We start from the raw sequence: 25,508 nt of genomic DNA, 5'->3' as shown, positions 1-25,508 counted from the left end.
AAAGTTAAGACAGCATGTCTTTAAGGAATGTTTTATTGACTTGCCAGGGTCAGGTTGTGAAAATAATTCCAGAACTCTGGATGAACTTTCCATAATGATTTTTTCTTTTTTTTTTTTTTTTTTTTTGAGACAAGTTCTCGCTATGTTACCCAGACTTGAGTGCAGTGGCTATTCACAGGCATGATTATCGCATACTACACCCTCTAATCCCTGGGGTCAAGTGATCCTCCTACCTCAGCCTCCTGAGTAGCTGGGACTATAGGTGCCCCACTATGCCTAGCTCCCATAATAGTTTTTTGATGTCTCCTGTGGAAAGCCCAGCAAGTCTACTTGAGAAATTAATGCATGCTTATAGAACTTTCTCTCTTGGCATTTAGAGATCCCCTCTCTCACCATTAATATTTGGAAAGACAGTTGCATCTTTCTAGTCCTCTTCATTAACATGAGAGCTGCATGCACCTGTTTAGATTGTGGGCATAGTGTTTTGGGGTTATGGTACAGCACAGGCCACAGGGGATTGTATTTACATTATGTAACCGACTGAATATGGTGCTCATCATCTTAGTAAAGATGACCAGGGCTTAATGAAGATTTGGTTCAGGCCAGCTTTGGTGGAAACATTCCTTATGTCCAGCATCCTCTTATATGTAAATCAGAATTTGGAGAATAAATACCTATTTTCCCATCATGACAAATTATAAGACTTTGATACCATTAGAATATAATCAATAGAAATTTTCCCCAGGACATTAGGGAAAGGTGTTTGAATTCTAATAAAAAAGACATTTGGAAACAGAATTTTTCTTAAACTCACAATAGTACAGTTTATGAAATGTAGATGGAAACCAAAAAAAAAGAAAAGGATAATGAGGACATATTCATTTATCCATACAACAGTGTGTTATTCAGCTCCTGTGTAAGATACCGCAGTACTAGGGACATTCTGACAAAAAAAAAATAAACCCGGTCCTTATCCACTTGGTACTTACAGTCCAGAAAGATGGTATAATGAAAAGAGAAGTGGAATTAGAGTTGAGAATATTCTGTATCTTATCAAATTAGCTAAATGTGACTTTGGGCAAGCCATTTCAGCTCTCTGGGCCTTAGGTAATTATATTAAGTAATCTCCTTAGAGAATTGTATTAAATAATTAAATAATTTCCAAGATCTTTCTGTCTTCCAAATGTTTTATATCCTCCTATCAGAGGTAATTCACTACCTATTGTCATAAATGAGATAATTTAGGGACATCTTCATTTTCCCAAAGTGGAGTTCCTCTTTGTGTTCCAGTATGAAGTCCTTGCACCAGCACTAAGTGATATCCATCATGCTGTCATACAACATAATGTGTTTTTCATGATTTTGTCCAAGGTAAATGTTAGTAGCATTTCTTTAGTGAAATCCTTGCTTCTTTCTCTGATTTAGATGCGGTTGTCACTGAAGGTGGGGAGAATTTTAGCGTTGGACAGAGACAGCTATTTTGCCTTGCCAGGGCCTTTGTCCGCAAAAGCAGCATTCTTATTATGGATGAGGCAACAGCTTCCATTGACATGGCCACAGTGAGTGCATTATCTAAGCTTTTAAAATTGACGAATTGGAGAAATGTGCATGAAAATTACAATTTATTATTTCCTGATTGGGTTCTGAATCCTCAGTACTATTGTTTTGAGAATCTGCTCAATCATCTACTGGATGAACTGATGATAGCACATTGAGAATTACAATAAATAGGGCCCAACATATGGTTGAAAGGCATTCCTATCACCAATCAACATAAAATAAATTTGCCACAACTTTTTGAAAAATTTTCAGAACAGTAAATTTCCAGGGCTTAGTTGATGAGAGGTACTGTACTATATTCAAGTACTACGCCAGAAAAGTTCTGAAATGCAGTACGAAAATCTCTGTTTAATAGAATCTATTACTAACCAACACCACTCATTATTTCCCAAAGCAATTTGAAGAAGAATGATTCACTGGGATTAACAATGGCTAGAATTAATAACAGTCTTCTCTATGTGTTTATGGTAAAAAGCCATAAATTTTGCCTTTTGAAAGATATTATTTGAAATTGTCAAATGTGTCCAAGAAAGATCTGTCCAGAAGGCTGTGATTGAGTAGGGAAAATGTTTCATTAAATCACAAACTGCATATGAGCTAGCAATTAATATTCTTCTGAAAGTTAACTTGATATTAAAATTTGACTTCAGAAAGGACACATTGAGGGTTATTATAACGGTAATACTGCCTCAACAGAGAAGAGAGAGAGAATATGAATTAAATGATTGAAAGAAAGAACTCCTTCACTTTAAAAATTGAACCAAGATTTCCTCTAGGACAGAGATGGAATCTGTACCCAGAACAGCCTTTAAAATATAATTATAACAGTGCTTTGTGGTGGAGATAAAAACAGTTGCTGCCTAGAATGTCCATTTATGTGTCAAAGTCCAAATTTTTGGCATCAATTTTAGTTTTTCCCTTTTTTGACTCAAAGGTTAACATCATTACAGAATTTTGCTGGTTTCAAATACATACTTTTTGTGGTATAACTCAAGTGAGCACTTTGATACCCATTTAATTTCATTTTCTTCTTTGCATTTCCTGGAAATAAATCTATCACCCACTTCTGGCTGATCACTGACTGACTTTCATTTGTGTTTTAAAGACACGTACAGAATCCAGCATGAACCTGCTGCTGGGGACTGCCCCTTCTTATGACTTCCACAGAAAATGAGGGATTGAGAATGCTCACAAGGGATTCAGTGGAATATTGATTGTTCTTGGGGCAAAATATTATGATGACAAAGTAATCCCGAGAAAATTTACACTTTTTTTTTTTTGCAGGAGAATATTTTGCAAAAAGTAGTAATGACAGCCTTTGCAGACCGGACCGTGGTGACAATAGCTGTAAGTATGAGAAGACGGAGTTGGTATACCTCTTTGGTTTTTGTTCTAACATGTTATCATCTTTAGGTTTTAGCAAAATATACTTGTGTTGAATTATGTATTTCTCTGCTAATGTTTCTGTATCTGTGCAAAAAAGAAAAAAAATACGAAGATGTTTTGAAAGCATTGTTCTTTTCCAAACTGTCTGCTCTACCTAACTGACTTCCCTAAGTTAGAATGATAGGACATCCTAAATCTAAGGATTCCAGCAGGTCATGGCCTCTGCTTGTTCACCAGATAAAATGGTAGTTCATATAAAATAATTCTCTTTTCTATAATCTGATGGTCTGATGAGCAGTTTCAGGAAGAAAATTCCTAAATTTGATTGCTTATTCTGCTACTATCTATACCTAATTTCTATGTTTCCATTCATTAATCTACTAAAAAATAGACAATGAGATATCTCACAGTAGGGTCAGGTAATTTTTTCTATTTTAGATAGCACCAATCAAATAGAAGAAGTGCTTAAATATTTGTAATTCACGTTATAGCTCACTTACAGTAGTCCACAGTTTTCTGCCTTTTCCTCTTTGCAAGTGGATTCTTGCTCATATTTAGGCTTACTGCTTAATAAAAACTATTTTTTAATGAGTCACTTGGACATTTTTCCTTCTGCTGATTCTCTTCTTTTCTATTTTTCTCTCCAGCACCGTGTCTCTTCTATTATGGATGCAGGCCTTGTTTTAGTCTTTTCTGAGGGTATTTTAGTGGAGTGTGATACTGTCCCAAATTTGCTCGCCCACAAGAATGGCCTCTTTTCCACTTTGGTGATGACCAACAAGTAGACCATCATGATCTATTGCACCAAGTCTGTCATTCTCCGGTAGTTATCTTAGCAGTATCCTCTCAGTAAGGCATGGCTAATGCTGTGAATAAAGGGAAGGGCTGAGATGAGGGAACTAACTGCAGGGTGTTATTACAAAATCAGCTCAACCAAGTGCTTTTGTCATGCTCACTACCGAATGGAGCTCATGCATGTGTTTTCAAATATATACATGCAAAAGAGAGTATTTATGAAACCTATTAACTGAATTTACCTCTTATTCTAAGGACCAATTTCACTAGTCCTTAGGGATGTTTTGTAAGCATCCATAAAAATGCCATACACATTTCTTACCTGCCCTGGAGAATGCATTGTTTCATTTACATAGTTACTTGAGTTTCACTGGTGAGTAATGTGAGTTGTGTATGGAGTGCTTGCTATGCTTCCACTTTCTTGGATGATGCATGGGAGAAACAGAACCCTTTGGAGTGCAGCTTTTTTCAAGATGGCAGGAAATGATGTCCCATCAGGGCCTACTTCCTGCAAACTGCCTAAGTAAAGAAAAATCTACTTTCTCGAATTTTTCCAGTGAACTCTGTGGTTCCTCTTTCCCAGAGGAGAGTCACCCAATTAACTCAATTCATATTAAGGTGTGAATGATTTAAGGGGTAGGAGAATTGGTTAACTTGAAAAAGAATTATTCAGTATTTTCAAGAATTTTCTTGCTGGAAAAGGTAGGGAGATATTTTGGAAGAGAGAGAACTCCCTGTTGCCCCAAAATGGGTGGAGAGAGGGAGAGAAAACAGACCATTGCCTATTCAAAAGAAGAATTTTCCCTACTCTGCATGAAGCATGGCGTTGTTGGATGGTTCTATTTAGTCTGTATCTGGAAGATTACTTGAGCATAATTTGTATTTTTAACAAAATGTTAGGTTTCCTAATTAGGTTACCTCTTACCTAATTTCTCTTCTACATTCACTGAATACTTTTCTATAGACTTATATTTCTTTCACTCATTCTTCATTTCAAAACCACTCATGTGAACGTGGCCACTAGGATACCTAGAATTCCCTGCTCCCACCCGCCCCTAATATACATGAAGCTGTCATGGAAGAATCACTGTAAGATTTTTTAGAGGACCAACTCCTCATAACAGGCCCATAAAAGGGAGAGCACCACCATGCTTGTGGTAGACTCCTTATAGAATTAACTTAAACTCTTAAAATTAACTGTTTTTCCTTTCCTGCCTAAGAGCTTATTACTTTGGTTAGCTGCCACTAAAATTGTGGAATGCCTTAACAAGATAATTTTCTCCAGCTTCTGAAAGGAAGCACTCACACACCAAAATAGTCCATGGTATTTATTTCTGAAAGTGATTACACGATTAATTTCTCTGGAATATTTTGAAAATTTTATCAACACAATTACAATTGACACCACACTTTGTCAAGGAAAAGTTATTTGGATTAATGGAATAAAAACCAACTATATTTATTTCTGTTGACCAAGATTTTTCAATGTTTTTTTTTTTTTTTTTTTGGAGACAGAGTTTCACTCTTGTTGCCCAGGCTGGAGTGCAATGGCTCGATCTCAGCTCACCGCAACCTCCGCCTTCTGGGTTCAAACGATTCTCCTGTCTCAGCCTCCCGAGTAGCTGGGGTTGCAGGCATGCACCACCATGCCCGGCTAATTTTGTATTTTTAGTAGAGATGGGGTTTCTTCATTTTGGTCAGGCTGGTCTTGAACCCCTGACCTTGTGATCCGCCCGCCTCGCCCTCCCAAAGAGCTGGGATTACAGGTGTGAGCCACTGCGCCTGGCCTAATGTTTTTATTTTTATTTTTTTCTAGTAAATATTATTTTAGAATATCAATGCAATGTTTATAAGATTATATTTATGGGTTTAGAGGCCAAATTCTTTTTTTAGACATCCATGATATGGCTATTGAACAGCTAATATTTTTCTGGAAGGAAAATGCACAGCAGATATTATTGGATAGCTTGTTAAGTTTCTTTTTCTAAATGCATGGGTGTGCAAATGGCTCTGGTCCTTTCTCAAAGATAAATAAACATTAGGCTCCAAAATCTTGTTAATTCATCAATGTATTAGGTTGGTGCAAAAGTAATCGTGGTCTTTGACATGATTACTTTTGCACCAACCTAATACATAATTTGTTACCAATATTCAGCGAATGATAGGCTTGTCATGGGTATTGAAAACTGGCACATGTTCTAAGCTGGCATCATTATCACATTTCATATATGTTTCTTTTCCCCTCACGTCATGAGTCACAACTATAACTGCTGGCTTTTCTGAAAGCATAAACACTGAGCCCACCCTATCTACATGGCCCAGGGCAGAATGTAGGCCCTCAACTCTGGGGATGGTTTTAGGTAGGACTTTGGAATGTTCAGAGAAGCACTTTGGAAGACTGTGTATCAGCTAAACAGATGGCATTTTTAGGTTTAGAACTCTGGACAGGGACTCCCATCAGCACACTAATATTTTGACCTGCATAGTTCAGGTTCCGTATGGTAGCCCCTGGCCACATGTGGCTATTATTTGAAATGTTGATAGTTCGAATTGAGAAGTGCCATAAGTGTAAAATCTGTACTGGATTTCAAAGACTTAATACTAATAGAAGCATGTAAAAGTTATCATGAATCATTTTTATATTGGTTACATATTGAAATGATAACATCTGAATAGATTGGGTTAAAATGTATTAAAGTTGCTTTCATTTGTTTATTTCTACTTTGAAAATGTAGCTCCTAGAAAATTTAAAATTACTTGTGGCTCCCATTATACTTCTATTGAACAATACTGATCTTAGCAAGAGTAAAAGCCCATCACACAGATCTTTCCTTTCTAATTTATAAACATAAAAAATAATAGTAGTTGACATTTATTATTTGTTTGTATATGTCAGACAAAGTGCTGAATTTTTGATATGGATTATCTCATTTGAACCTCATCACCCTTCTCTGAGGCAGGTACTATACCATAATTTTACAGATGTGAAACTGGAACTATACAATGTTAAGTATATTGCTCAAGATTGCACTACTAACAGGTGGTAAAGCCAAAATACACAAGCCCAGTTTATCTTCAGAGCCTGTTCTCTTAACCATAACACTGACATGGCAGGTGAATGCTCCTCTAAGGTATCAGAGAGCCTTATGAAACAGTTAGATGACAGGATGGAAATAGCTCACATTTTGAAATTAGTAAACCTAATTTTGATACTGGTTCTGCTACTTACTATCTATGTGACCTCCTGATTTTGCTTTATCTCTGTGAATGGTCTCCCCTATAAAGTGGAGAGACATAACACCCACAGCTGAGGAATGGTCTAATGATTCACAAGAATGTGTGTGGAGAACTTAATATATGGCATATGCTCAGAAAGTGGTAGCTTTTATCATTGTTAGTTACTAATTAATCCAAAGGGCATCGCGTGGAAAGAAGGAATGGGTCAGTGGCAGTGATCTCCAAAGACTGAGACTGCATGTCTAAAGGCCTGGGTAATCCATTCTATTACTGCATGCCAGAATGGACTTCCCCATATTGTCATCCCGGAACTAAACCACTTTCCAGGGTTCTTCGAATTGTGTTATAGCCCAAATAATTAGTGACTGTACACAAGAGATAATTATTGTTGACATTAAAGTATAACCCAACTGGTTTACAATGGCCTCTCTTAATTTAATTACTCGATAAACAATTTTACCCTACTTAAACTTAAGGTTTCATGAAAATGATGACGCTGATATATTAGCTACACTCAAGTTAGTACAGCCCATAGAAAACCCAGCCATATTGGCCATTGCTTAAAAATATGTAAATAAATGATAATTTAAATAAGGAAAAAAGGGGAGGTGTCTGTGATCCCTACATCTTGTCACTCACCAAGATAAACAAATGTCCCAGAATAATTCATGAAATATACATATTCCATTGTTTTGGCGTGTGCCCTGAAATGTGTAACAAATACATGTTTTCTTTTCACTCACAGCATCGAGTACACACTATTCTGACGGCAGACCTGGTTATTGTGATGAAGCGAGGAAATATTTTAGAATATGACACTCCAGAAAGCCTCTTGGCTCAGGAAAATGGAGTATTTGCTTCTTTTGTTCGCGCAGACATGTGAAGGAGTGTCTTAAAACAATACATGTATTTAAAATAATGCAGTCATAACCTAATTAATGGATCATCAGCTTGACCTCTGTAAAGTGGCATCTTAAAACTTTTACAGATTTTTGCACAAAAAGTGGACATTTATTTTTCCTGTTTTTAAAACAGTTTTTCAAGATATTATTGCTTAATATGTTCATTATTGATGTTTTTATAGTGATCCAGCCACTCTAGCTTTAAGAATAGCTAGGTTGTATTAAAACATGTAAGCTACTTTAAGTGATAAATCAATAGCTAAAGTTTTCTCCTAACTTTAAGTCTGGTAAATATCTCTCAGGAATGGAAGTGTCAATGAGTAGTCAGTATTACTATACTCTTGTTTGTAAGAATATATTTTCCTTATTGTTGGAGTCTCCAGAGGTTATTGGAAGGAATAAAAAAGGACATGTTTTCTAACGAAACTCTCAAATTCATTATCTACTTCATGAGAATTTATTTGTATTCATTAACATTAGTAATACCTATTTTTCTTAAGAGCCTTCTTTTTTCCCTTTTGTTTCTTGTCACCAAGAAGTTATCACACTTATACTTATTCTATAAGGCCAAAGCCTTATCTAGAAAGATCATGAAGAGTTTGGATATTTTTAAAACTATACTCGAATTTTCATTTTTTCCTGTCCTGTAAAGAGAGAATTCTTAAGATATCAGGCATAATGTATGTACCTTTTCCAGACTGAAGTTCAAAGAATGATTAGGTTCAATCTTTCAGTGGCAGGCCAGCTAAACTTTCTATAGTTTAATGATTAGCTGTGGTTATGATCTTGAGCCCTAACATGCCACATTACTCAAGATTTACACAGGCAAGTGACTTCATTTGGCACTGCTAATAATGGCAGGTGAACATTCCTCTCAGGTGTGAGATATTTCCTATGAAACAGTCCACTGGCAGGCTGGAGATATCTTACACTTTGAAGTTATATATATATAAAACAAGTGTCTATTTCTAGCTGAAAGAGTTTACCTCTTCTAGACATTTATGCCCAATGGTGTCACACATGATCATTTGCTCCTGCTCTAATTTTAATGTGCATACAAAAAATATACCAAAAATGTTATTGTAATTTTAATGAGCATGTAAAGAGTGTATCAAAAATTGATGGGATATTAGTGTTAGGTTTTGCTTAAATGAAAATTAATAAATTCAAAAATACTAAAAGTCACCTTCTTTGTCACGTTAGCAACCAGTTTCTACTATTCTGTGCCCATCCAGTGTCAATATCATTGATTTCTTTTTCATATGAAGATCCACATGCATTGTAAGATTGTGAAGATATATAAAATTGATGAATTAAGAGAAATTATGCCACTTTCCTATAGTTTCTGTGTTCTGTTTATTGTATGGTGTATTCACTCTTGGAAAATATGTAATAGTTGTGTATCCAGAATATGTGTCTTCACCTGAATATTTAATCTTTATATTTACAAAAAAATAAGTTCCACAAGATGGACAAAAATGGTCCATGATATTTAGCTTAAATTGTAACCTTTTGTTGTGTATATAAAACTTCCTTGGAAGAAAATAACCTTATTGTTTTCTTAAAGCTAAACAGAATAGGATTGGTACTCATTAATTATGTCTTGCAAATATTTTCTAAAAATTCAACCACTCTCCTAAAATGGTGTTTAAATATTTTGTAGGGCAGAATATGCATATTGCCTGTTAGCAAGTAATAATTCATTCTCATAGAGAAATGGGTTTTTACCCATGGAAGTAATCTTTTTTTTTTCTTTTTTTTTTTTAATTTTTTTTTTAATATACTTTAAGTTTTAGGGTACATGTGCACATTGTGCAGGTTAGTTACATATATATACATGTGCCATGCTGGTGCGCTGCACCCACTAACTCGTCATCTAGCATTAGGTATATCTCCCAATGCTATCCCTCCCCACTCCCCCCACCCCACCACAGTCCCCAGAGTGTGATATTCCCCTTCCTGTGTCCATGTGATCTCATTGTTCAATTCCCACCTATGAGTGAGAATATGCGGTGTTTGGTTTTTTGTTCTTGCGATAGTTTACTGAGAATGATGGTTTCCAGTTTCATCCATGTCCCTACAAAGGACATGAACTCATCATTTTGTATGGCTGCATAGTATTCCATGGTGTATATGTGCCACATTTTCTTAATCCAGTCTATCATTGTTGGACATTTGGGTTGGTTCCAAGTCTTTGCTATTGTGAATAATGCCGCAATAAACATACGTGTGCATGTGTCTTTATAGCAGCATGATTTATAGTCATTTGGGTATATACCCAGTAATGGGATGGCTGGGTCAAATGGTATTTCTAGTTCTAGATCCCTGAGGAATCGCCACACTGACTTCCACAATGGTTAAACTAAAGAGCTTCTGCACAGCAAAAGAAACTACCATCAGAGTGAACAGGCAACCTACAACATGGGAGAAAATTTTCGCAACCTACTCATCTGACAAAGGGCTAATATCCAGAATCTACAATGAACTCAAACAAATTTACAAGAAAAAAACAAACAACCCCATCAAAAAGTGGGTGAAGGACATGAACAGACACTTCTCAAAAGAAGACATTTATGCAGCCAAAAAACACATGAAAAAATGCTCATCATCACTGGCCATCAGAGAAATGCAAATCAAAACCACTATGAGATATCATCTCACACCAGTTAGAATGGCAATCATTAAAAAGTCAGGAAACAACAGGTGCTGGAGAGGATGTGGAGAAATAGGAACACTTTTACACTGTTGGTGGGACTGTAAACTAGTTCAACCATTGTGGAAGTAATCTTTTAATGATATTTTCTTATTATATTGCTACAGGCAACATCAGTAGAAGCCTATCTAGTTACACTAAACTAAAGATCACATTCACCATTCTTACAGCCAAGTGGTTGCTGGTCCCCTCATAACTTTTAGTTACTTAAGTTGAGTAAATGTCTAATTGTTTACAAACTAAATTGACTAAATAAGGTCAAGGATAATGTTTTTCATTGATTAACCATTTATTATACATATAATCTATTGAATATAAAAAGATTCACCTTGAAATAATATTTGACTATATAGGTACATATCTGTAAAAGATGACCACCTTAACTAAATCAGATTTTACATTTATAAATTTTATATTTAATTAGTCAAATCAATTTTTAAATCATAACTCCTTAATCTCATAAGAAGCAATAAATGCATAAAGCATTATATTAAAATACCAGGGTTACTTATGTCATTGACAGGGAAAAGACTTTGTATAAACAATTATGCACCATCTATTTTTGTACTCTTACTCATGATCCATTTAAAAGTCTACTCAGCTCTAGATTAGATACCAGAAGACCCTCTAAGTAACTGATAACTGAGATTCGGGACCATGTCTTGTTTGCCATTGTGCCCTTGGAATTTAATACAAGTGCCTAACCCACAGTAGGGTTGATTGATTCACTGATTAGTTTTACTGCCATGTGCCTATAACTATAGGTTATTCTCTTTCCTTTTCTATGTTGTGTTTATTCTATTTATTCTCTACAATATATAAAATGTATTTGTTCTCTACAATAAATGTGTTTATTCTCTACAATATATAAAAACATATTGGACTACTATTACATAATTAAATTACTCTTTTATTTGCTTAAAGAGGGTGATTATTTTTTCACTTACCGTTCCACTGAGCAGCAACCGGGACTGGTCAATAGATGGAAATCAATCCCAATTTAGAGACAATACCTGGCCCTGCTTTGACAATCCTGTTTCACGTTTGCCAGAGTCATGCACTTCCTTACTTTTGTATATAGGCTCCAGAGAAGTTTCCATTAAGTGAAACAGCTATATTAATTTTTTAAATATATCTTTATTTAAATAATTGGATGTCTGGACTTTATCCCAACGTTTATTTATCAATTTTTATAGTTGTCTTCCAATATATCTTTTATCATTTATTTTGTAACACATTCTTTGGAGGTCTGTGATTTATAGTACTATGATAATTCCCTTATTGACTCATTATTCAAAGTTAGATGCAGTCTTCTAATCTTAGCTATTTGGCATAAGAAGCAATAGCCAAGGGGATGTATCCTGTACTTTATGTTTAATTTGTTCTTCAGTAACTACATATCATTTATATCAGATTATCTTAAGTATTAACAGGATTCACCTGGATCAAATTCTCCAGTGAAAGAGCTTGTATCGGTATTTCTAGTAAGTGCCGACAAATGAGATACATAATTAACCAAGTTTGGGAATCACTGAGCTACATCAATCATTACACTAGTTTCCCTTTGTTGTGCTGAACATAGAATCATAAAATACTAAAGGTAATTTTCACATGCTTCCTTTCCCTGCTGACATTGCCTTATCCTGAATTGCTAAAACAAGCCTCTCGATGTCACGGAATTAATTGCCTTAGTTCATCATAAAGGAAACATTGTTTAACGAACTGAATCTTAGCTGAGAAGTTACCACAACAGGGACTCAAAGACTTATTTTCTTTAGTTTTGTTGTGTAATCAGCAACAAAGGATCTGAAGATAAAACTTTTTCCACAAAGATGCAAAGTGTTTCAAACATTAATTGTATGTGTATGTGACCAATTTGAGATTTCACTATTGATGTTTCACAATATGGAAGGAAGGTAAATTATCTGTGATGATTATTCTCTTTCCCATCTTATGTTTTTTGCAAGTCTCATCATTGCTGATATATAAAGGCTGATATATTCATTTTACATATCTAATAAATGGGATTTAAGTTATTTTTTTCCTATGGACAGTAGCAAATTGCCCTTAGCCAGTCACACTATGGTCACCAGTGCCCTACTTCTAAAATGACAAAGATAAAGGGAGCCATATCTGGCTAAATAAGTTAATTAGCCATAAGGAATGGACTCTATGACTCAGTGCCACCAACCATCACAGACCATCACCAATTACACACTCCATATTCATGACCAAGAGTTTCGTTTTCAGGCCATTATTTTTGCTAATCTGCCCACTGTGTAAAATAAGTAGCTTGGTGGCTGGCAAGATGGCCAAATAGGAACAGCTCCGGTCTGCAGCTCCCAGCAAGATCAATACAGAAGGGGGATGATTTCTGCATTTCCAAGTGAAGTTCCTGGTTCATTTCATTGAGACTAGTTAGACGGTGGGTGCGGCCTACAGAGGGCAAGCCAAAGAAGGGTGGGGCGTCACCTCACCAGGGAAGCTCAAGGGGTGGGGGAACTCCCTCCCCAGCCAAGGGAAGCCATGAGGGACCATGCCGTGAGGGATGGTGCACTTCGGCCCATATACTATGCTTTTCCCATGGTCTTCGCAACGTGCAAACCAGGAGATTCCCTCGGGTGCCTATGCCACCAGGGCCCTGGGTTTCAAGCACAAAACTGGGCAGCCGTTTGGGCAGACACCAAGCTTAGCTACAGGAGTTTTTTTTTATCATACCCCAGTGGTGCCTGGAACGCCAGTGAGACAGAACTGTTCACTTCCCTGGAAAGGGGGCTGAAGCCAGGGAGCCAAATGGTCTAGCTTAGCAGATCCCGGCCCCACAGAGCCCAGCAAGCTAAGATCCACTGGCTTGAAATTCTCGCTGCCAGCACAGCAGTCTGAAGTTGAGCTGGGACACTCCAGCTTGGTGGGAGGAGGGGCGTCCACCATTACTGAGGCTTGAGTAGGTGGTTTTCCCCTCACAGTGTAAACAAAGCTGCTGGAAAGTTCCAACTGGGCGGAGCCCACCACAGTTCAGCAAAGCCTCTGTAGCCAGACTGCCTCTCTAGATTCCTCCTTTCTGGGCAGGGCATCTCTGAAAGAAAGGCAGCAGCTCCAGTCAGGGGCTTATAGATAAAACTCCCATCTCCCTGGGACAGAGCACCTGGGGGAAGGGGCAGCTGTCACACAGCTTCAGCAGACTTAAACGTTCCTGCCTGCCAGCTCTGAAGAGAGCAGTGGATCTTCCAGCACAGCGCTCGGGCTCTGCTAAGAGACAGACTGCCTCCTCAAATGGGTCCCTGACCCCTGTGCCTCCTGACTGGGAGACACCTCCCAGCAGGGGTCAACAGACACCTCATACAGGAGAGCTGCAGCTGGCATCTGGTGGTGCCCCTCTGGGATGAAGCTTCCAGAGAAAGGAACAGGCAGCATTCTTTGCTGTCCTGCAGCCTCCACTGGTGATACCCAGGCAAACAGGGTCTGGAGTGGACCTCCACCAAACTTCAGCAGACTGCAGCTGAGGGGCCTGACTGTTAAAAGGAAAACTAACAAACAGAAAGCAAAAGCATCAACATCAACAAAAAGGATGTCCACAAAGAAACCCCATCTGCAGGTCACCAACATCAAATACCAAAGGTAGATAAATCCACGAAGATGAGGAAAAAACAGCACAAAAAGGCTGAAAATTCCAAAATCCAGAACGTCTCTTTTCCTCCAAAGGATCACAATTCCTCACCAGCAAGGGAACAAAACTGGACGGACAGAGAATGAGTTTGACGAATCGACAGAAGTAGGCTTCAGAAGGTGGGTAATAACAAACTCCTCCGAGCTAAAGGAGCATGTTCCAACAAAATGCAAGGAAGCTAAGAACCTTGAAAAAAGGTTAGACGAATGGCTAACTAGAATAACCAGTTTAGAGAACATAAATGACTTAATGGAGCTGAAAAACACACAAGAGAACTTCGTGAAACATACACAAGTATCAATAGCTGAACTGATCAAGCGGAAGAAAGGATATCAGAGATTGAAGATGAACATAATGAAATAAAGTGTGAATACAAGATTAGAGAAAAAAGAATGAAAAGGAATGAGCAAAGCCTCCAAGAAATATGGGACTACGTGAAAATACCAAACCTACATTTGATTAGTGTACCTGAAAGTGACAGGGAGAATGGAACCAAGTTAGAAAACACTCTTCAAGGTATTATCCAGGAGAACTTGCCCGACCTAGAAAGACAGGCCAACATTCAAATTCAGGAAATACAGAGAACACCACAAAGATACTCCTTGAGAAGAGCAACCCCAAGACACATAATCATCAGATTGAACCAAGGTTGAAATGAAGGAAAAAATGTTAAGGGCAGCCAGAGAGAAAGGTTGGGTTACCCACAAAGGGAAGCCCATCAGACAAACAGCGGATCTCTCTGCAGAAACCCTACAAGCCAGAAGAGAGTGGGGGGCAATATTCAACATTCTTAAGGAAAAACAACCCAGAATTTCATATCCAGCCAAACTAAGCCTCATAAGCAAAGGAGAAATAAAATCCTTTACAGACAAGCACATGCTGAGAGATTTTGTCACTACCAGGCCTGCCTTACAAGAGCTCCTGAAGGAACCACTAAATATGGAAAGGAAAAACCAGTACCAGCCACTTCAAAAACATACCAAATTGTAAAGACCATTGACAGTATGAAGAAACTGCATCAACTAACAGCCAAAATAACCAGCTAGCATCATAATGACAGGATCAAATTCACACATAACAATATTAACCGTAAATGTAAACAGGCTAAATGCCCCAATTAAAAGACATAGACTGGCAAATTGGATGAAGAGTCAAGACCCATCAGTGTGCTGTATTTAGGAGACCCATTTCACGTGCAAAGACACACATAGGCTCAAAATAAAGGGATGGAGGAATATTTACCAAGCAAATTGAAAGGAAAAAAGCAAGGGTTGCAACCTTCGTCTCTGATAAAACAGACTTTAAACCAAAAAAGATTAAAAAAAGATAAAGAAGGGCATTACATGATGGTAAAGGGATCAATGCAACATGAAGAGCTAACTATCCTAACTATATATATATGCACCAAATACAGGAGCACCCAGATTCACAAAGTAAGTTCTTAGAGACCTACAAAGCGAGTTAGACTCCCACACAATAATAGTGGGAGACTTTAACACCCCACTGTCAATACTAGATCAACAAGACAGAAAATTAACAAGAATATTCAGGACTTGAACTCAGCTCTGGACCAAGCAGACGTAATAGACATCTACAGAACTCTCCACCCCAAATCAACAGAATATACATTCTTCTCAGCATTACATCACACTTATCCTAAAATTGAGCACTTAATTAGAAGTAAAACACTCCGCAGCAAATGCAGAAGAATGGAAATCATAACAAACAGTCTCCCAGACCACAGTGCAATAAAATTACAACTCAGGATTAGGAAACTCACTCAAAACCACACAACTACATGGAAACTAAACAACCTGCTCCTGAATGACTACTAGGTAAATAACAAAATTAAGGTAGAAATAAATGAGTTCTTTGAAACCAATGAGAATGATGACACAACGTACCAGAATCCCTGGGACACAGCTAAAGCAGTGTTTAGAGGGAAACTGATAGCACTAAATGCCCACAAGAGAAAGCAGGAAAGATCTAAAATTGACACCCTAACATCACAATTAAAAGAACCAGAGAAGCAAGAGCAAAAAAATTCAAAAGCTAGCAGAAGACAAGAAATAACTAAGATCAGAGCAGAACTGAAGGAGATAGAGACACAAAAAACCCTTCAAAAAAATCAATGAATCCAGGAGCTGGTTTTTTGAAAAGATTAACAAAATAGACCACTAGCCAGCTAATGAAGAAGAAAGGAGAGAAGAATCAAATAGACACAATAAAAAATGATAAAGGGGATATCATCACTGATCCCACAGAAATACAAACTACCATCAGAGAATACTATAAACACTTCTACACAAATAAACTAGAAAATCTAGAAGAAATGGATAAATTCCTGGACACAAATACCCTCCCAAGACTAAACCAGGAAGAAGATGAATCCCTGAATAGACCAATAAAAAGTTCTGAAATGAGGCAGGAATTAATAGCCTACCAACCAAAAAAAGCCCAGGACCAGACAGATTCACAGCTGAATTCTACCAGACGTGCAAAGAGGAGCTGGTACCATTCCTTCTGAAAGTATTCCAAATAATAGAAAAAGAGGGACTCCTCCCTAACTCATTTTATGAGACCAGCATCATCCTGATATCAAAACCTGGCAGAGACACAACAAAAAAAGAAAATTTCAGGCCAATATCCCTGATGAACATCAATGTGAAAATCCTCAATAAAATCTGGCAAACCGAATCCAGCAGCACATCAAAAAGCTTATCCACCACGATCAAGTCAGCTTCATCCCTGGGATGCAGGGCTGGTTCAACATATGTACATCAATAAACATGATCCATCAAATAAACAGAACCAATGACAAAAACCACATAATTATCTCAATAGATGCAGAAAAGGCCTTCAATAAAATTCAATACCCTTTCATGCTAAAAACTCTCAATAAACTATGTATTGAAGGAATGTATCTCAGAACAGTAAGACCTATTTATGACAAACCCACAGCCAATATCATACTGAATGGGCAAAAGCTGGAAGCATTCCCTTTGAAAACTTGCACAAGACAAGGATGCCCTCTCTCACCACTCCTATTCAATACAGTATTGGAAATTCTGGCCAGGGCAATCAGGCAAGAGAAAGAAATAAATGGTATTTAAATAGGAAGAGAGAAAATAAAATTGCTTCTGCTTGCAGATGACCTGATTGTATATTTAGAAAACCCCATCATCTCAGCCCAAAATCTTCTTAAGCTGATAAGCAACTTCAACAAAGTTGCAGGATACAAAATCAATGTGCAAAAATCACAAACATTCCTACACACCAATAATAGGCAAACAGAGAGCCAAATCATGAGTGAACTCCCATTCACAATTGCTGCAAAGAGAATAAAACACCTAGGAACACAACTTACAAGGGATGTGAAGGACTTCTTCAAGGAGAACTACAAACCGCTGCTAAAAGAAATAAGAGAGGACACAAACAAATGGAAAAACATTCCATGCTCATGGATAGGAAGAATCAATATCGTGAAAATAACCATACTGCCCAAGGTAATTTATAGATTCAATGCCATCCCTATCAAGCTACCATTGACTTTCTTCACAGAATTAGAAAAAACTACTTTAAAGTTCATATGAAACCAACAAAAAAAAAGCTCGTATAGCTAAGACAATCTTAAGCAAAAAGAACAAAGCTGTAGGCATCACACTACCTGTCTTCACACTATACTACAAGGCTACAGTAACCAGAACAGCAAGGTACTGGTACCAAAACAGATATAGACCAATGGAACAGAACAGAGGCCTCAGAAATAATGCCACACATCTACAACCATCTGATCCTTGACAAACCTGACGAAAACAAGAAATGGGGAAGGATTCCCTATTTAATAAATGGTGGTGGGAAAACTGGTTAGCCATATGCAGAAAACTGAAACTGGATCCCTTCCTTACACCTTATAAAAAAATTAACTCAAGATGGATTAAAGACTTACACGTAAGATCTAAAACCATAAAAATCCTAGAAGAAAACCTAGGCGATACCATTCAGGACATAGGCATGGGCAAAGACTTCATGACTAAAACACCAAAAGCAATGGCAGCAAAAGCCAAAATAGACAAATGGGATCTAATTAAACTTAAGAGCTTCTGCACAGCAAAAGAAACTATCATCAGAGTAAACAGGCAACCTACAGAATGGGAGAAAAATTTTGCAATCTATCCCTCTGACAAAGGGCTAATATCCAGAATCTACAAGGAACTTAAACAAATGTACAAGAAAAAAACAAACAACCCTATCAAAAAGTGGGCAAAGGATATGAACAGACACTTCTCAAAAGAAGACATTTACGTGGCCAACAAACATGAAAAAAAGGTCATCATCACTAGTGATTAGAGAAATGCAACTCAAAATGACAAGGCCATAGCATCTCATGCCAGTTAGAATGGCAATAATTAAAAAGGAAACAACAGATGCTGGAGAGGATGTGGAGAAATAGGAATGCTTTTACACTGTTGGTGGGAGTGTAAATTAGTTCAACCATTGCAGACAACAACGTGGTGATTCCTTAAGGATCTAGATCCAGAAATACCATTTGACCCAGCAATCCCATTAATGGGTATATACCCAAGAGATTATAAATCGTTCTACTATAAAGACACATGCACCCGTATGTTTATTGCAGCACTGTTCACAATAGCAAAGACTTGGAACCAACCCAAATGCCCATCAATGATAGACTGGATAAAGAAAATTTGGCACATATACACCATGGAATACTATGCAGCCATCAAAAAGGATGAGTTCATGTCCTTTGCAGGGACGTGGGTGAAGCTGGAAACCATCATTCTCAGCAAACTAACACAAGAACAGAAAACCAAACACTGCATGTTCTCACTCATAAGTGGGAGCTGGACGATGAGAACACATGGACACAGGAAGGGGAACATCACACACCAGGGCCTGTTGGGGGGTGGGGGTTAGGGGAGGGATAGCATTAGGAGAAATACCTAATGTAGATGAGGTGTTGATGGGTGCAGCAAACCACCATGGCACACATATCTATGTGAAAAAATCTGCATGTTCTGCACATGTATCCTAGAACTTAAAGTAAAAAAAAAAGAATTAAAGGTCATCAGTGTACAATGAAAAAAAAGATGGTGGAGAAATAGTTTCCACCTCTTAATGGGAGAATAGTAAGCACATGCAGGAATTGAAGGAATTGATGGCAGCCATTTTGCAGGCAAGCTACCACAACTACTATGGACTGGGAGATTTGAGGGAAGTAGCAAGAAACATTATTTTCTAACCACCTAAAAGGTACAAACGACCACTGAGGGTTCACTTTTTGTTCATTCCTCAATGCTTCTTTTCAGGTCCTCTCTACTGCATAGAGACAAATGTAAGTTTTGAAGTCCAAAATAATTGAGTTGCTTAATGCTATAAGAAGTTGCATTTATTCAAAATACAAACACAATTCAGCTTTTGGTGGGATTTTTTATGTTTTATTGTTTGATTATTCACTTTTTACCTACCAAATTGCAAAACTTAAAAATCATATTCAAAATTGAAGAGTGTACTATAAAGGAGATATTTTCATATTTTATAGTTGGAAATGTAAATCTACAATACTGCAATGTGACAGTGAGTGTAAGTGACATTAACTAGGCCAAGCACGGTGGCTCATATCTACAGTCGTAGCACTTTGGGAGGCTGCAGTGGAAGGATTGCTCGAAACCAGAAGTTCAAGACTAACCTAGGCAAAAAGGCAAGACCTTGTCTCTACGAAAATAAAAATTTTTAAATAAAAAATTAGCTGGGCTGGGTGGTGCACACCTGTAGTTCCAGCTATTCAGGCAGCTCAGGCAAAAGGATCCCTTGAGCGCAGGAGTTAGAGACTGCAGTGAGCCATAATGGTGCCTGGACTCCAGAACAAGACTCTATCTCTAAAAAAATAAATAAATAAAAGAAAGATATCAACTAAAAAAAAATAAGTAACTCGTTCGTATATATCAACAGTGCAACTTTGATGCAGTAGCTTAATGCTATTTCATTCCCATCTTTCTCTAAAAGAATGATTAAAGTATGTACTGTTTATACAACATTATCAGTTATTATTAAGTGAAAGGCCATTGACCTTTAATATTATCAGAGCCAAGTGGATTTAGGCCAGCTCTTTGATATCTAGGCCAGCTCCTTGACTCACAGTAGTTTGAGTTTTCTGTTTCAACACTCATGAAGTAAAAAGTAATTTTTAAAATTCTTAAACTTTTTCAGACAGCCAAAATGTTCATCAGTTATTTGAACTTGGACGTAAACAGAATTTCCAGCTATTTGAATCAATTAAACTGTCTGTTAAATCTATTTTATAGGTTACAACCTAAACCTATCCTCCAACCCCTCAGTACGTGTGTGTGCACTGCATGCACACACATATACACTCACATTTTAGCTTAACTTGCTGCCTTAAATAAGGCTATAGTTGGTATGAAACTTTATATCACTAATGCATAGATAAATGCAGGTAGTTAAAATAGATGGCATAAAGAGAAATATTCTTACAGTAATCTGTAAGTGTATCTTTCAGACCTAAATCACCTTAGAAAGAAATTTCACTTCTAAATAGATCATAAAATGTGTTTCCAGTGATATGAGATTCAGCCCTTCTTCTTTATTTTATTTATGTATTTTGAGACAGAGTCTTGCTCTGTCGCCCAGGCTGGAGTGCAATGGCACGATCTCAGCTCACTGCAACCTCAGCCTCCCAGGTTCAAATAATTCTCCTGCCTCAGCCTCCCAAGTAGCTGGGACTACAGGCATGTGCCACCATACCCAGCTAATTTTTGTATTTTTAGTAGAGATGGGGTTTCGCCATGTTGGCCAGGTTGGTCTCAAACTCCTGACCTCAGGTAATCCACCCGCCTTGGGTGTAATCCCTCCCAAAGTGCTGGGATTACAGGCGTGAGCCACCGCACTCGGCCAACCTTTCTTTTTAAACTACCCTTTAAGATAGCACTGGCAACATCTTGCTGGGTTACAGTGAAGAGGCTCTTTTTAGTTCAATGAAAGGATGATAATGATTGTCATGAAAGCTGTTGAACTGGGCATCTATGAAAAGTGGTTGTCTCCCTACTAGGGGATGCTGTGTGAAAATAAACTTTGGTTATTTCATCTTGATTGATAATTTGTTGAATATCTGCTGTGTTCATCTTTGAGTAACAAAATATAATTCAGGGATATTATTTGTTGGTGTAGTGCATAGCTATGTAGTATATTTAAAATAATATAAAATCTTAAGAAATAAGTATCTTTATTATACTTGCTTTACAGATGAGAAACTGAGGCTAGGATTTAAATGATTTATCCCCAAATCACTGATTTAAATTCTGACCATCTGACTCTAGAAACTATCCTTTTAAACAGCATGGGGTAGGTGTGGAGAGGAGGTTGGTATTGAAATGTTATATCTGCACTGGAATCTAGGAAAAGCAGAATTATGAGATCTCAGGGAAAGTGAGGACTGGGACCTGTCTAGGGACAGTCCACTCCCTCAATTCCAACTCCCTGTCTCTAGTTTCTCGTTTTTCTTCTGCCCCATTCTTATCCCTGCCTACTTCTTTCTCACCTTTATGAACCATTCCTATCCCTAAGACTAAATCTTCTGGCTTCTCAGTCCACAACTATCTCCATTTCTCAGATTGTCTATTTCAAAGTATCAAGCAAAGAATCTACCTTGTGCAGCTCATCTTTTAATCTTATACATGACAAAGACAACTGTGCATTACACATCACTTTGGGTCAGGAGTCTACCTCTGACCTAAGAAGCTGTTGTCAGGTAGTATATGCCGGTTGGGAGTAATGAGGAGAAACTAGCACAGTCTAGAGAGTGATGTGAAAGCAAGAAGGCAAACACAAATCACAACCAGTAGTTCCAAAAAAAGACTAATGAGACTGGGCTGGCTACTGATTATTTTCCTTTGAGGGAAAAAAAAAAGAGATTGAGAGAGGAAAAACCTTTCCTCTATCACATAAGCACTAAAATGAGCTGTTGTCTAAAACCCTTGGCCTTTCGTCTCATGTTCTCTCAACCTATCTTTGTTCCAGAGAAAGGGAAAGTCTAAAGAAGGCTGTACTTTTCTTTTAAAACATGAAAACAAAACAAAATCTCTTGCCATAAGACTCCAAATATTGACTTTTTAAGCCCAAGTTTCATTTCTCTATGGGAATTACTGCATAACACATAGCTTACGAGACATTTTCTCACAACTTCCCACTCAAAACAAGCAGTAACACCCTACCACCACCACTACAGAATTGCACTATCCCTAACACATATGATCATTACAAGCACATTTTGGACAGAAGCAGCCATTTTTCCCAGTGACCTATCACTTGTGGACACTTATATGTGCCAAGCACTTGGCCCAGGCAGCACAATTCCTATGTCCTTGGCAAACAGGAAGGAGAAGACGGCAAAAGGCAGTGATTTGGGGTGACAAGTTTTCACTAGAAAATAGGAGCGTCTCTTCTTTATTCCCACTTGACTGAACTTCCAGCATATATTCAATGTAACAAAAACATTATATTGGAAACACAAGGCATCCAGGCCTTTGGCCAAAAATGTAGGGGAAAAAAATAGAAAGCCTAATATTTCATGGGAAATTCTTGGCTTAAATAATATTTTAATAAAGCTTAGCTACATATGCCAATAAAGCATAGAGATGACATACTGATTTATGATTTAAATATCATTATAGTCTCTGTGATGCTGGTATCATTTTGTATCAAACAATATGAAAGAGGAAAAATCACTGGGGAAAAGAAGAGAAGAGCAACATGAAATCAATTGAGATATCAGTAGAATGTTTATTGCATATACCATCTAATTAAAAATTTGCTGTAAGGGTAATAATAGCTAACATACATTGAGCAGATATGATATAAGCCTTACAAGTATAATCTCTTTTGATCTTGAAAAAATTTCCCTGAGGTAGATATTATTATTTCCATTTAATAATTGAGATTCATAAAGGCTAACTTGAGCAAGGTTTAGCAGAACTCAGAGGCAAACTCAAGCAATCCAACTTCAAGGCCACACTCTTAGTCGTGTGCTATACTAGAATAAAGATTAATTTAGTGAAGTCAATTATTTGTTTTGGGAATAAATGATTTATACTGTATGTGTTAATACTGAGTGTCAACTTGACTGGATTGAAGGATGCAAAGTATTATTCCTGGGTATGTCTGAGGGTGTTGCCAAAGGAAATTAACATCTGAGTCAGTGGGTTGGGAAAGGTAGACCCACCCTTAACCTGGGTGGGCACCATCTAATCAGTTGTTAGCACAGCCAGAATATAAAGCAGGCAGAGAAATGTGAAAAGACTGGACTGGATTAGCCTCCCAGCCTACATCTTTCTCCCGTGCTGGATGCTTCCTGCCCTCGAACACTGGACTCCAGTTTCTCCAGCTTTGGGACTTGGACTGGCTCCTTGCTCCTCAGCTTGCACATGGCCTATTGTGGAACCTCACCTTGTGATTGTGTGAGTTAATAGTCCTTAACAAACTCCCCTTTATATATACATCTATCCTAATAGCTCTGTTCTCTAAAGAACCCTGACTAATACAGTATGTGACATATAATAAAGAATAATTATGTGAATCTATGTAGAATACTATTGAAAAGAGAAATGGACCAGGAGACCTGACTTCTAGTCTTGATTCTATCAATTGAATATATGGCCTTGGATTTATCATTTAAAGGCTGGGTCCCCATTTCCTCATTTGCAAAAGGAAAACCAAAAGACATGACAATAACTACCCTGTTGGCCTCACTGAGTTTTTATTAATCTCAAATAAAATGATGGGAAAATAACTTTATAACTTGAAAAGCACATTCCAATACGGAATGTTAGTATGAGAGCCCACTACATTGACCATACCTTAATGAGCACTACATGAGATTTTTAAAATCACAGAATAAGTGTTTTATTTCCTCTAAAAACAAATTGACTATCCAACTTTGCAAAGGTGAGATCGTATATTCAAGATAAGAAATTGAATAAAAATAGCTCCAGAATATTGATACCCTAGAGGTCCTGGAAAGGGAAAATCCAAAATCAGTCTGCTGGGGTACAATCTAGATCCCATAGGGAGGAAAAAAAAACAAGAAAATTAACTCACATTCAAAATTAAAACCACATGAGAAAACACATACCAAGATTGGAACCCAGACACAACCAATAGGAATATTAGCACAATAACTAGAAATCATTATAAAACAATCTATAAGAAGTTTTAAAGTATGTATGTTTGCCAGTAAGCATGTGAAAATGTGTTCAACATCATTCCTCACTGGGAATGCAAATTTAAAAAACTATCCCCTAAAATGGCTGAAATGACAAGGACTGGCAATACCAAGTGGGGTGAGGTTGGAACTCTCATATAACTGCAGAAGGGAGCGTGCATGGCACAACCAGTATGGAATACTGGCAGTTTCTACTAAGGCTAAATAGGTACCTATACCAGGACCCAACAATTTCATGCTAGGGCATATATCCAGGTGAAATGAATGCTTATGCCCACAATAGATCTTGTACAGAAATGTTCCATAGCAGCTTTATTTATAATAGTCAAATTTATAATAGTCAAACAAACATAAATAACCCATATGCCTGTCAATAGGAGAATGGATAAATAAATGGTGTTATATTCACAAAATGAAATACTATTACTGGAATATAAAACAACCTGGCCACATTTCACAGACACTCTGTTGAGTGAAAGAAGCAGGTACTAAAGAGTACCTACTGTGTTATTCCATGCATACAAAGCTCAACAACAAACAAAACAAACTGCTGATGAAATGCCATAAAAAGGTGAGCTCTGCTAGGGAGCAATTACAGTCTAAAAAGGGCAGAAAGAAATCTTCTATGGTGATAGATATGCTTTATATCTTAATATCTGATCCATGTGGTAGTTAATTAGTTGTACATATAGGTTTTTAAAAGGTGGTTAAAAAAAATAGAACTTCTAGGAAAAAAACCTCTAAAATTATTATTAAAATTCAGTGGATATATCAAACCATAATTAAGCTTAGATGATGAGAGAATTATTTCCATTGGAAACAGATCTAGAATGCAGTGCAGAATAAGTAGATAAAAACCATGGAAGAACAACCAGAAGATATGGAGGATAAAATGAAAAGGTCTGAACTAGGGATCTCAGAGGAGAGAAAGAGAAAATGAGGAGGGTTCAAAGAGCCAAAAACTATTCCCAAAAGAAGACATTTATGCAG

At 37.3% G+C, this 25,508-nt stretch overlaps 1 protein-coding gene and 1 long non-coding RNA gene across 9 annotated transcripts in view, besides 1 other annotated feature; one reads left to right on the top strand and one right to left on the bottom strand.

Annotated features, from left to right (window-relative positions):
- Positions 1-11,516, top strand: part of ABCC9 (ATP binding cassette subfamily C member 9) — a 144,038-nt gene extending 132,522 nt beyond the window's left edge. For 7 of the 8 annotated variants that reach the window (XM_005253288.5, NM_001377274.1, XM_005253290.5 and 4 more), the window contains 3 exons: positions 1,426-1,559; positions 2,845-2,907; positions 7,724-11,516. In XM_005253288.5, the coding sequence (XP_005253345.1) occupies positions 1,426-1,559; positions 2,845-2,907; positions 7,724-7,861 (335 nt within the window). In that variant the 3' untranslated portion in view covers positions 7,862-11,516. Of the gene's footprint in view, positions 1-1,425; positions 1,560-2,844; positions 2,908-3,593; positions 3,770-7,723 lie in introns of all 8 variants that reach the window. The other variant, NM_005691.4, reaches the window with a different exon arrangement.
- The window catches only part of KCNJ8-AS1 (KCNJ8 antisense RNA 1), a 166,949-nt gene that overhangs the window by 20,357 nt on the left and 121,084 nt on the right, over positions 1-25,508 (bottom strand). The window lies entirely within an intron of this gene.
- Positions 13,439-13,488: an enhancer, noted in NCBI's record as "active region_6096". NCBI's record gives its function as "activates an Ori minimal core promoter by ATAC-STARR-seq in GM12878 lymphoblastoid cells {active_cell/tissue: GM12878}" and the evidence as "EXISTENCE:reporter gene assay evidence [ECO:0000049][PMID:35858748]".

This window comes from Homo sapiens, chromosome 12, assembly GCF_000001405.40.
Source record: "Homo sapiens chromosome 12, GRCh38.p14 Primary Assembly".
NCBI classification, from domain to species: domain Eukaryota; kingdom Metazoa; phylum Chordata; class Mammalia; order Primates; family Hominidae; genus Homo; species Homo sapiens.
The sequence above is the reverse complement of the archived record's forward strand: the minus strand, read 5'-3'. Positions and strand labels throughout refer to the sequence as shown.